The sequence below is a fragment of the Homo sapiens genome, chromosome 21 (assembly GCF_000001405.40).
Source record: "Homo sapiens chromosome 21, GRCh38.p14 Primary Assembly".
NCBI classification, from domain to species: Eukaryota; Metazoa; Chordata; class Mammalia; order Primates; family Hominidae; genus Homo; species Homo sapiens.
In genome coordinates, this window is record NC_000021.9 from 9,101,296 (window position 1) to 9,114,400 (window position 13,105).

The 13,105-nt window shown below is 39.6% G+C and overlaps 1 pseudogene across 3 annotated transcripts in view, besides 1 other annotated feature; it reads right to left on the reverse strand.

The window, feature by feature from the left end:
• Positions 1-13,105, reverse strand: part of TEKT4P2 (tektin 4 pseudogene 2) — a 61,406-nt pseudogene that overhangs the window by 32,940 nt on the left and 15,361 nt on the right. The window lies entirely within an intron of this gene.
• Positions 3,827-4,027: a silencer, noted in NCBI's record as "peak4333 fragment used in MPRA reporter construct". NCBI's record gives its function as "represses an SCP1 promoter by STARR-seq MPRAs in K562 erythroleukemia cells {active_cell/tissue: K562}" and the evidence as "EXISTENCE:reporter gene assay evidence [ECO:0000049][PMID:32103011]".

Genomic DNA, 13,105 nt, shown 5'->3' on the forward strand with positions numbered 1-13,105 from the left:
CAGGAAGCTCAGAGAACACCAGGCAGAATAAATGCCAACAACCTACACTTGGACATATAATTTTCAAACTATATGAAATAAAAGATAAAGGAAAACTCTGAAAGAAACCAGAGGTGATCCCAGCACTTTGGGAGGCCGAGGCGGGTGGATCATGAGGTCAGGAGATCGAGACCATCCTGGCTAACAAGGTGAAACCCCGTCTCTACTAAAAATACAAAAAATTAGCCGGGCGCGGTGGCGGGCGCCTGTAGTCCCAGCTACTCGGGAGGCTGAGGCAGGAGAATGGCGTGAACCCAGGAAGTGGAGCTTGCAGTGAGCCGAGATTGCGCCACTGCAGTCCGCAGTCCGGCCTGGGCGACAGAGCGAGACTCCGTCTCAAAAAAAAAAAAAAAAAAAAAAAAAAAGAAACCAGAGGTGGGGCAGAAAACACCTTACCTACGGAGACACAAAGATAAGAACTGCATTCAACAATGCAGAAACTGTGAAAGCAAGAAGACAGTGAAATGAAAAATTCAAAATGTTGACAGAAAAAACCCACCAACCTAAGTTTCTGTACCCACTGAAAACACCCTTCAAAAGTGAAGGAGAATTAAGGCCTTCCTCAGAAAAATAAAAATTCAAGAAACTTATTGCCAGGAGACCTGTCTTGCAAGAAATGTTAAATGAAATTCTTTAGAGGGAAACAAAAGATATATAACTGAAACCTGGATCAACATTTTTTAAAAAAGAGCATTAAAGAATTGTGGTACAATAAAAACCTATGTATTTATTCTTAATTGATCTGACCAAGAAGTTCATAGACAATAACAAATACACACAGATAGATTATGTATGCTTATACACAAGTTAAATGAGTAACACTAATACAAGGAATGGAATGGAAGGATGGGAGGGAGGAATTGTGGTACAATAAAAACATGTATTTATTCATAATTGATCTGACCAATAAGTTTGTAGATAATAATAAATACACACAGATAGATTATGTATGCTTATACACAAGTGAAATAAGGAACAATAATACAAGGAATGGAATGGAAGGATGGGAGAGAGGAATCAGGTGTTTTCTTTGTTAAGCAGGTAGTCACCCGTGAAGTGGGATAGTGTTATCTGAAAGTGGACTTGAATTGGTTGTAAATGTATATTGAGGAATTAGGTGTGTTCTTTGTTAAGCAGGTAGTCTTATTTGTGGGATAGTGGGATAGCGTTATTTGAAAGTGGACTTCAATTTGTTGTAAATGTTACTGAGGAATTAGGTGTTTTGTTTGTTAAGCAGGTAGTCTTATTTGTGGGATAGTGGGATAGTGTTATTTGAAAGTGGACTTGAATTGGTTGTAAATGTATATTGCAAATTCTGTGGCAACTAGTTAAAAAAAAAGTTTTAAAAAGAGAAGTACATGCTAAGAAAGACAGGGAAAATGTAGTCATCTAAAATCATCAATGAAAACTGCAAAAGGCAGAAAAAGAGTGGTAGACAAAAGAATGGAGACTGAGGAGAATGAATAGAAAACAGTAACAAATATAGTAGATATTAATCCAATGATATCAATAATCACTTTGAATGTTAATGGTATGAATGTACCAATTCAAAGATAAAGATTGTCAGAGTCTATCAAAAGACAGACACATCTTGTTTCACTGCACTTTGCTTTATTGTGTTTTGTGACCATGTGTTTTACATATTGAAGGTTTGTGGCCACCCTGCAATAAGCAGGTCTCACTGGCACCATTGTTCCTACAGCACGTGCTCACTTCACGTCTCCGTGTCACATTTCGGTCATTCTCACAGTATTTTAAGCTTTTTATTATTGAATCGGTTATAGTGATCTGTAATCAGTGATCTTTAATGCTACTGTTGTCATTGTTTTGGGAACCACAAATCACACCAGGATAAGACAGCAAACAATTGACAAATGCATTTGTTCTGACTGCCCCACCAATGGGCCATTTCTCTTTCTCTCTCTTTTTCTCAGGCTTCTTTTTATTAATATTAAAATGTGGCCAATTAATAACCCTAAAATAGCCTCTATATGTTCAAGTGAAAGAAGAGTTGCATGTCTGTCACTTTAAACCAAAAGGAAGAAATAATTAAGCTTAGTGATGAAGGCATGCTGTAAGCAAGACAGGCCAGTAGCTAGACCTCATGCAACAAACACTTAGCCAAGTTGTGAATGCAAAGGAAGTGTTCTGGAAAGAAATTTAAAGTACTACTCTAGTGAATACATGAATGATAAAAAGCTAAACAATCTTGCTGCTCTTATGAAGAAAGTTTAATTGGTCTAGATAGAAGATAAAAAAAAACAAAAAAAATTCCATTAAGCCTAAGCCTAACTCTCTTTTTACTTTTTTTCTTTGTTTTTGAGACAGAGTTTCATTCTTCTTGCCCAAGCTGGAGTACAATGGCGTGATCTTGGCTCATCACAACCTCTGCCTCCCAAGTTCAAGCCATTCTCCTGCCTCAGCATCCCGAGTAGCTGGGATTACAGGCATGCACCACCACGCCTGGCTAATTTTTTGTATTTTTAGTAGAGACGGGGTTTCTCCACGTTGGTCAGACTGGTGTCGAACTCCCGACCTCAGGTGATCTGCCCGCCTCTGCCTCCCAAAGTGCTAGGATTACAGGTGTGACAGCCACCGCACCCGGTCTCCCTTCAATTCTATGAAGACTTAGAGAGGTGAGGCAGCTGCAGAAGAAAAGTCTGAAGCTAGAAGAGCTTGTTTCTTGAGGTTTAAGGAAAAAAGTCATCTCCATAACATAAAAGCGCAAGATAAAGCAGCAAGTACTGATGGAAAAACTGCAGAAAGCTATCTAGAAGATAATTGATTAAGATGGCTACACTAAACAGATTTGCAATGGAGACAAAACAGACTTCTACTAGAAGGAGATGCCATCCAGGATGTTCCCAGCTAGAGAGGAGTTGATGCCTGGCTTTAAGGCTTCAAAGGACATGCTGACTCTTTTGTTAAGGCCTAATGCAATTGGTGATGTTAACTTGAAACCAATGATGATTTACTATTCTGAAAATCCAAGGGCCCTGAAGAATTATGATAAAACACAGCTCTGCCTGTACTCTACAAATGGGAACAAAGCCTGGATGACAGACTATCGGTTTACAAATACGGTTTACTGAATATCTTAAGCCCACTGTCGACAACTACTGCTCAAGAAATAAGATTCCTTTCAAAGTATTACCGCTCAATGACAATGCCGCTGGTACTCAAGGGCTTTTACAGAGATGTATAAAGACCTGAATATTGTTTTCATGCCTACTAACCCAACATTCATTCTGGTGCCCTTGGATCAAAGAATAATTTCAACTTTCAAGTCTTATCACTTAAAAATATATTCATAAAGCTATAGCTTCTTTAGAAAGTGATTCCTTTGATGGATCTGGGCAAAATAATTGAAAACCTACTGGAAAGGATTCACCATTCTAGATGTCATTGAGAACATTCATGATTTAAAAAAGATCAAAATAGCAACATTAGGAGAAGTTGGGGCCGGGCTTGGTGGCTCACGCCTGTAATCCCAGCACTTTGGGAGGCCAAGGCACGTGGATCACGAGGTCAGGAATTTGAGACCAGCCTGGCCAACATAGTGAAATCCTGTCTGTGCTAAAAACACAAAAAAAATTAGCTGGGCCTGGTCGGGGGTGACTGTAATCCCAAACACTTGGGAGGCTGAGGCAGGAGAATTGCTTGAACAGGGGAAGTGGAGGTTGCAGTGAGCTGAGATCGCATCACTGCACTCCAGCCCAGGCAAGACTTCATCTCAAAAAAAAAAAAAAAAAGAGAGAGAAGTTGGGAAGATTATTCCAAACCTCACAGATGACACAGGGGTTCACGACTTCTGTGGAGGAAGTAACTGCAGATATGGTGGAAATAACAAGAGCACTAGAATCAGAGAAAGAGCCTGAAGATCTGGCGAGACTGCAGCAGCCTCTGGAGAAAAAGTGAGAGGATGAGTTGCTCCCACGGATGAGCAAAGAGAGTGGTTTCTTGAGATGAAATCTACTCGTGGTGAAGACAGTGTAAACAATGTTGAGATGACAACAGATTTACAATAAACTTGGTACAGCAGAAGGAAGGCTTGACAGGATTGAACCCAATGATTTACAATAATACATAAACTTAGTTGGTACAGCCGTACGAAGGTTTGACAGCATTGCATCCAATTTTGAAAGTTCTACTGTGGGTAAAAAGCTATCATCGTATGCTACAGTTAATTCTTTTGTGAAAGGGAGAGTCAATTGACACAGCAAACTTCAACGTTGTCTTATTTTAAGAAATTGCCACAGCCACCCCAACGCTCAGCAACCACCACCTTACATTAACATAAGACCCTCCATCAGCAAGAAGACTGAAACTTGGCCAGGTGCAGTGGCTCACACCTGTCATCCCAACACCTTGGGAGGCCAAGGTGGGTGGATTGCTTGAGCCCAGGACGTCAAGGCAACGTGGCAAAACCCCATCTCTACAACAAAAAAAAAAATACAAAAATTAGCTGGACATGGTGGCATGTACCTGTAGTCCCAGCTAGTCAGGAGTCTGAGGTGGGGGTTTGATTGAGCATGAGGTTGAGGCTGCAATTACTCCAGCCTGAGCCACAGAGTAAAACCCTGTCACACACACAAAAAAAGATTGCAGCTTTCTGAAGGCTCAGATGACTGTTAGCACTTGTTAACAATAAAGTATTTGTAAATTAAAGTGTGCATACTTTGTAGACATATGCTATTGCACACTTTATACAGCACAGTATAAACATACTTTTACATGCACTGGGAAACAAAAAGAAATTGTATAACACTTTATTGCAGTGGTCTGGAACCAAACCCACATATATCTCTGATGCACGGCCGTCCTGTATTGTACACTTAAAAAAATACTTAAGAGGGTATATTTTAGGTGAAATGGTCATCTCATTTTTTTTTTGAGACGGAGTCACACTCTGTTGCCCAGGCTGGAGTGCAGTGGCACGATCTCGGCTCACTGCAAGCTCTGCCTCCCGAGTTCACACCATTATCCTGCCTCAGTCTCCCGAGTAGCTGGGACTACAGGTGTCCGCCATCACACCTGGCTAATTTTCTGTATTTTTAGTAGAAACGGGGTTTCACTGTGTTAGCCAGGATGGTCTTGATCTCCTGACCTCGTGATCCACCTGCCTTGGCCTCCCAAATTGCTAGGATTACAGGCGTGAGCCACCACTCCCGGTCTCATTTTTTAAAAAGGGTGAGAATGAGAAATATATGGGGGGTGATGGTCAAGTTTACGGTATTATTTGTTGTGATGAGTCCTGGGGCGAATATTTATCTCTATACTCATTAAGATGTATATATTCGGTGTCACATGCCTGTAATCCCAGCACTTTGGGAGGCCGAGGCAGGTGGATGATCTGAGGTCAGGCGTTCGAGACCAGCCTGGCCAACATGGTGAAACCCTGTCTCTACTAAAAAAATACAAAAATTAGCCGGGCGTGGGGGTGCACGCCTGTGATCCCAGCTACTCAGGAGGCTGAGGCAGGAGAATTGCTTGAACCTGGGATGCAGAGGTTGCAGTTAGCTGAGATCATGTCACTGCACTCCAGACTGGGCAACAAGAGTAAAACCTCCATAACACACACACACACACACACACACACACACACACAAGGTATATATTAAATATGTGTAATTTTTGTATGTCAACCACACCTTAGTTTTATTTTGTTTTATTTTTTTGGGACAGAGTCTCACTCTGTCACCCAGGCTGGAGTCCAGTGGTGCAATCTTGGCTCACTGCAAGCTCCACCTCCCAGGTTCACACCATTCTCCTGCCTCAACCTCCGGAGTAGCTGGAACTACAGGCACCCGCCACCACGCCCGGCTAATTTTTTGTATTTTTAGTAGAGATGGCGTTTCACAGTGTTAGCCCGGATGGTCTCGATCTCCTGACGTGATCTGCCTGCCTCAGCTTCCCAAAGTGCTGCGATTACAGGTGTGAGCCACCGCGCCCAGACAATTTTTATTTTTTTTGAGACAGAGCCTCACTCTGTCACCCAGGCTGAAGTGCAGTGGCACTATCTTGGCTCACTGCAACCTCTGCCTCCTATGTTCAAGCAATTCTCCTGCCTCAGTCTCCCGAGTAGCTGGGACTACAGATGCATGCTATCACGCCTGGCTAATTTTTTGATTTTTAATAGAGATGAGGTTTCACCATGTTGGCCAGGCTGGTCTCAAACTCCTGACCTCATGTGATCTGCCCACCTCAGCCTCCCAAAGTGCTGGGATTACAGGTGTAAGCCACTGCACCTGGCAATTTTTAAATATATATAATTAAAATTTAATAAAAAACAGGTATTTGCAAGTTTCCGTTTTGTTATATGCTTATTATTCTTTATATTTATGTCAGGTTGCTGTGTCAATACACTTAGGAGATCATAGTTTCTAAATTGAAATACAAATAAATATGTCTGAAATTTTTACTTTTTTCTTTTTTTTTGAGACAGACTCTCATTCTGTCACCCAGGCTGGAGTGCAGTGGTGCAATCTCAGCTCACTGCAACCTCCGCCTCCCAGATTCAAGTGATTCTCCTGCCTCAGCCTCCAGAGTAGCTGGGATTACAGGCACCCGCCATGACACCCAGCTAACTTTTATATATATATTTTTTCTATTTTTAGTAAAGACAGGGTTTCACCATGTTGGCCAGGGTGGTCTCCAACTCCTGACCTCAGATGATCCTCCCGCCTCGGCCTCCTCAAGTGCTGGGATTACAGGTGTGAGCCACTGTGCCTGGCCTGGAATTTTTTTCTAAAATTTACATTTCTGAGTTAAGAATGCTTAAAATGTTATAAAAACAGAAGCACAATTCATTATGTGTTTCATTAATTACCTTTATTAAAAACAACACAATTATATTACAATAGGACAAAAAATGTTTAAGCAAATGAAAACGAAACCATGACATACCCAAACTCAGGAGGAGGCAACAAAGGCAGTGCTAAAGGGAAGCTTACAGCTCCAGATGCTTAAATTAAAAAGAAGATCTCAAACCCATGCTAAAGGGAAGCTTACAGCTACAGATCCTTAAATTAAAAAGAAGAAAGATCTCAAACCCATGCTAAAGGGAAGCTTACAGCTGCAGATGCTTAAATTAAAAAGAAGAAAGATCTGAAACCCTTGCTAAAGGGAAGCTTATAGCTGCAGGTGCTTAAATTAAAAAGAAGAAAGATCTCAAATCAATAACCTAACATTACACCTGAAGGGGGGAAAAAAAAACTAATGACAAACCAAGCAAAAGGAAGAAAATAACAGATTAGAGCAGAGATAAGCAGAATAAGACCAGAAAAAAGGAAAAAAACAGAGTTTGTTTTTTTAAAGATCAATAAAAATTTTAAAACTCACAGCTATATTAAGAAAAAAGAGAAATCTCAAATACTAAAATCATAAATAAAAGAGGTGACAGTACAACAGATTCCACAGAAATGAAAAAGATTACAAGAGACTAATGTGAGCAACCATATGCCACAAAACTGGGCAACCTAGAATAAATTTATAAATTCCTAGAAACACAAACCACCATACTGCATCATGGAGAAATAAAAAATCCAAAGAGACCTGTAACTAGTAAGAAGATTCAACCAGTAATCAAAAACCCCACCAAAAAGAAAATTCCAGGTCCAGATAACTTCACTGGAAAATTTTACCAAATATTTCAAGAAGAATTAATGCCAATCCTCTGCAAAATATTCCAAAAATGTTCAAAAACCAGAAGGGGACATTCCAATCCATTTATCAGGTCAACGTTTATCTGGTTCCAGAGCCAGATGAACACCTTTTGTAATAAAAACACTCAAAGAATTAGTAATATATGGAAACTCCTCGGTAAATAAAGATTATACATGAAAAGCTCACAGCTAACATCATACTCAATGGTGAAAGACTAAAATCTTTTCCTCTAGGATCAGGAATAAGATAGCAACATCTCTTCCTGCCACTTCTATTCATCACAGTACTGGAATTTCTACTCAGAATAATTAGTCAAGAGAAAGTAATAAAAAGGATGCAAATTGGAAAGGAAAAAGTACAAAATTTTGTTCACAGACAACAGGATGTAATGGGTAAAAATCCTGAAATTCCCAAAATACTGGTAAAATAATGAAATTCAACAAAGTTTCAGGATACAGTAACACACACAAGTCAGTTGCATTTCCATAAACTAACAATGAACAATCTGCAAATAAAATTTTAAAAAGAGAGGCCAGGTGCAGTGGCTCACACTTATAATCCCAGCACTTTGGGAGGCCAAGGCGGGTAGACCACCTGAGGTCAGGAGTTCGTGACCAGCTGGGCCAAACCCATCTCTAAAATAAATAGTAAAACTCTGTCTCTATTAAAAATACAAAAATTCGCTGGGCGTAGTGGCAGACAACTGTAGTCCCAGCTACTTGGGAGGCTGAGGCAGGAGAATTGCTTGAACTTGGAAGGTGGAAGTTGCAGTCAGCTGAGATTGTGCCACTGCGCTCCAGCTTAGGAAACTGAGTGAGACGCCATCTCAAAGAAAAGAAAGAAAGGAAAGAAAGAGAGAGAAAGAAAAGAAAAGAAAGATAAAACAACAGAAAAGAAATTTTTAAAAAGAATGACATTTGGCTGGGTGCAGTGGCTCATGCCTGCAATCCCAGCAGTTTAGGAGGCCGAGGCAGGCAGATCACCTGAGGTCACAAGTTCAAGACTTGCCTGGTCAACATGGAGAAACCCTGTCTCTACTAAAAATACCAAAAAATTAACTGGGCGTGCTGGCGCGCACCTGTGATCCCAGGTACTTGAGAGGCTGAGGTTGGAGAATCGCTTGAATAAAGAAGGCGCCGGTTGCAGTGAGCTGAGATAGTGCCACTGCACTCCAGCCTGGGAGACAGAGCAAGACTCCATCTCAAAAAAAAAAAAAAAAAGTATTACATTTACAACAGCATTATAAAAATTAAAAATAAGCTTAACCAAAAGGGCAAAAGATTTGAACACAGAAAACTACAAAACACTGTTGAAAGAAATTAAACACAAATAAATGAAAAGAAAAGCTGGGTTTGCAGATTAGATGATTTCATCTTGGAATGATGTCAACACTACTCGAAGTGACCTAGATTCAATACAATCCTTATAAAGATTCCAATGACATTTTTGATAAACAGAAAATCCTATCCTAAAATTCATATGGAATCTCCAGGGCCCATGAATAGGCAAATCAATCTTGAAGCAGAACAAAATTAAAGGTCTCAAAACAATTACAAAACTGCAATAAGCCAAAAAAAAATGTGGTCATGGCGTAAAGACATACTTGACACACTTATGGACCAACACAACAGAGACCTCAGAAACCAACCCTGGCATATATGGTCTGATGATCTTCCACAAGGATGCCAAGACCACTCAATGGCGAAGGACAGTTTCTTCAACAAATGGTGTTGGGAAAATTGTATATCTACATGCAAAACAATGAAGTTGGACTCTTACCTTACACCACGTTAAAATTAATTCAAAGTGAATTATAAACCTAAATGTAAAACTAGAACTATCAAACTCCTAGGGAAAACAAATTTGGAAAATGCTTTATGATGATGAATTTGTCAATAATTTTTAGGATATGACATTAAAAGCTCAGGCAGTAAAAGCAAAAATATATCAAACCTAAAAACTTCTGTACCACAAAGGTCACAACCAACAGGGTAAAAGGCAAACTGTAGAATAAAAGAAAATACCAGTTGAGTGTCCCTTATTTGAAATGCTTGGGATGTGTTTCAGATTTTGTAATATTTGCATTATTCTTACTGGTTGAGCATCTCGAATTCAAACACCTGAGTCTGCGATGCTCCAATAAGCATTTCCTTTGAGTGTCATGTTGGCACTCAAAAAGTTTCAGACTTTGGAGCATTTGGGATTTCAGATGTTTGGATCAGAGACATTCAACCTATAGTTGCACATCATGTATCTCATAAGAAGTGAACATTCAGAATACGTAAAGTACTCCTACGGAGAGACTACCAGAAGCAGAGAGGAGCAGACACATTTTCACACTAGGGCACCTCCTATCTCTCCCGGATTCCAATTAGGGCAGAGTAAGTGCTAGTTCTCTGCCAACCCAGGATTAGGCCCTACAGCTGCAGTGAAAATAATCACAGAAGAAAACTAAGAAATAAAAAAATGGAGAAAGTGAGACATCAAACTAAAATTACTAGAAACCCCAAGGAAGAAGGAAAAAGAAACGAAGAAAACAGAAAAACAATTAAACCAGTTAATTAAACCTTGGCATGACCAGAAGATCAGAGTTTCCTAAAGGAGTGGAAATTTATTGATTTGAAGAGGATTTATTGATTACTGATTTGAAGAGGAAGAAAAATCATGAATGGTCTAAAGCAAAAGCCTAGTGTCTGAAGAAGTCAGTAGGGTGAAAACAAGAGTTGGCCAGAATGTCCACAGATGGTGACAAGTTGGCAAAGCCTTTACTAGACTACTCGTGAGGCTAACTAGAGTCCAAGGAGCCGACACTGCCCCTGTCCTTACAGAGAGACCCTACACAGGATTCCCAGATATACATGGAAGGACAACATCTTATCAGGTCCTCTCTGTGCAGATGTGGTTATCATTCCAAATAATGAGCTCCAGCCCCAAGACTGTTCCATCCTCAATTGCTTTGAGTGGGCAATGTAGGCTCTCCACACACGACCTACATGTAGGTTCCTTGGGTACCCAGATGGGAGCCATGAAACACAAACCCTCCATGGTCAGGTCTGTATTTGTTTCCTGCCTTTTTCCCAGCAATCCCCAGGCCCCAGCAGCGGTAGTCTACCTCTGCTGATTCTCATTCAGAATCTAAACTTAGAAACAATTAGAACCTAGACCCCAATTCTACCTGAAAGTAACAGAATAACATAATCTATACCCTGCAGCATGACTGTTTGCCCAACGTAATGAGGATGAACTGAGAGATAATGAATGATCATGACCCTGGCCCAAGTAATGAGAATGAACTGTGAGATAAATGAATGATCATGACAAAAAACCCCGCTACAACCCAACAACAAAATAAAGTGATTAAAAAATGGACAAACAACATTTATCCAAAGATGCAAAGATGATATACAAATAGCCAACAGATACATGAGATATATGAGAAGATGTGTAACATCACTAGTCATTAGAGAAATGCAAAAAGAAACCACAATGGGACATCACTTCAAACCCAATAGAAAGTAACAAGCGCAGGTGAAACTGAAACCCTTGAACACTGTTGGTGGAAATATGAACTGGCTCCTCAAAAAAAAATAAAATAAAATGACCATATGATCCAGCCATCCAACTACTACAGAGACAGAATAACTAGTAGCAGGACCTCAAACAGATATGTGCACACCTAAGTTCACAGCAGCATTACACAGCCACAAGGTGGAAGAAACAAAAACGTCCGTCCAGGAATAGGTGGATAAACAAAAGCATATATATATATGATATATATTATATATATATATAATATATAATATATATAATATATATAATGTATGTATATAATATATATGTAATATATATATAATATATATATGAAGAAATATTATTCAGCCATAAAAAGGAAGAAAATCGTGACACATCTGACACATAACATGGAACCTACTTACAAAACAACAAATATTATATAACCCTAGGTATATAAGCCAAATTTTTAGAAACACAAAGTAGAATAGTACTTGCCAGGAGGTGGAAGGAGGGGGAAATTAATAGTTGTTGAATGGGTATAGAGATTTCCAAGATAAAAAAAAAATCTAGAAATCTGCTACACAACACCGTAAATATTCTTAACTCTACAAAACTGTATACTTACAACTAGTTACGACGGTAAATTTTAAGGTATGTGTTTGTTACCAAAATTCTAAATAATAAATTATTTATAAAAAATGATCTTTTTTGACACAAGGTCTTACTCTGTTGCCCTGGCAGGAGTGCAATGGCATGATCACAGCTCATTGCAGCCTCAACCTCCCAGGCTCAAGCAACACTCCCACCTCAGCCTCCCAAATAGTTGGGACTACAGGTGCACACCAAGATGTCAGGCTAAATTTTGGTTTGGTTTTTTTGTAGAGAGGGTTTTGCCATGATGCCCAGGCTGGTCTCAACCTCCTGGGCTCAAGCAATCCACCTCCCTTGGCCTCCCACAGAGCTGAGATTATGAGCATAAGCCACCATGCCCAGCCTATAAAAAAATATTTCAAAAAGCCAAAATATTAATCAAACTGGAATATTTAGAAATATTTAACCCAAAAGAAGTTAGGAAAGAATATATAGAAGATCAAAACACAGACGAAGGCCAGACATGGTTGCTCATGCCTGTAATCCGAACACTTTGGGAGGCCAAGGTGGGTAGATTGCTTGAGCTCAGGAGTTCAAGACCAGCCTGTGCAACATGGCAAAACCCTATCTCTACAAAAAATATAAAAATTAGCCAGGTGTGTTTCCATGCGCCTGTAGTCCCAGCTACTCAGTGGGCTCCAGTGAGGATTGGTTGGGCCTGGGAAGCAGAGGTTGAAGTAAGCCAACATTGCACCATTGCACTACAGTCTGGGTGACAGAGCAAGACCCTGTCTTAAAAAAAAAACAAACAAATAGAAAATAAGTAGAAAAATGGCAGACCTAAATCCAACCTTAGCAATGATTAGTTACAATGTAACTGGACAAATACTCTACTTAAGACAGAGACTGCCAGACCTGAGAGGAAAGCAAGACCCAACAATATGGCATCCACAGAGACACAATTTAAATACAAAGACACAAAGTATGAGAAAAAATATGCTATGCAGACACTAATCATAAAAATATGCTATCCAGACACTAATCATAAAAAGCTTCAATGGAGATGTTAACACTAGATGAAAGAGGCTCCAGAAAAAAATATATCACCAGAAATAAACAAGGTAATTTCATAAAAATAAAAGAATCAGAGAGGATGATGTTACAATTATAAATTGTGCCTCAAAGTGCAAACAAAGTACACACACACACAGAGCCTCAAATTATGTGAATCAAAAACAACAGAACAAAAGCAGGAAATTGACAATCCAAAATTATAACTGGTGAATTAATACTGCTC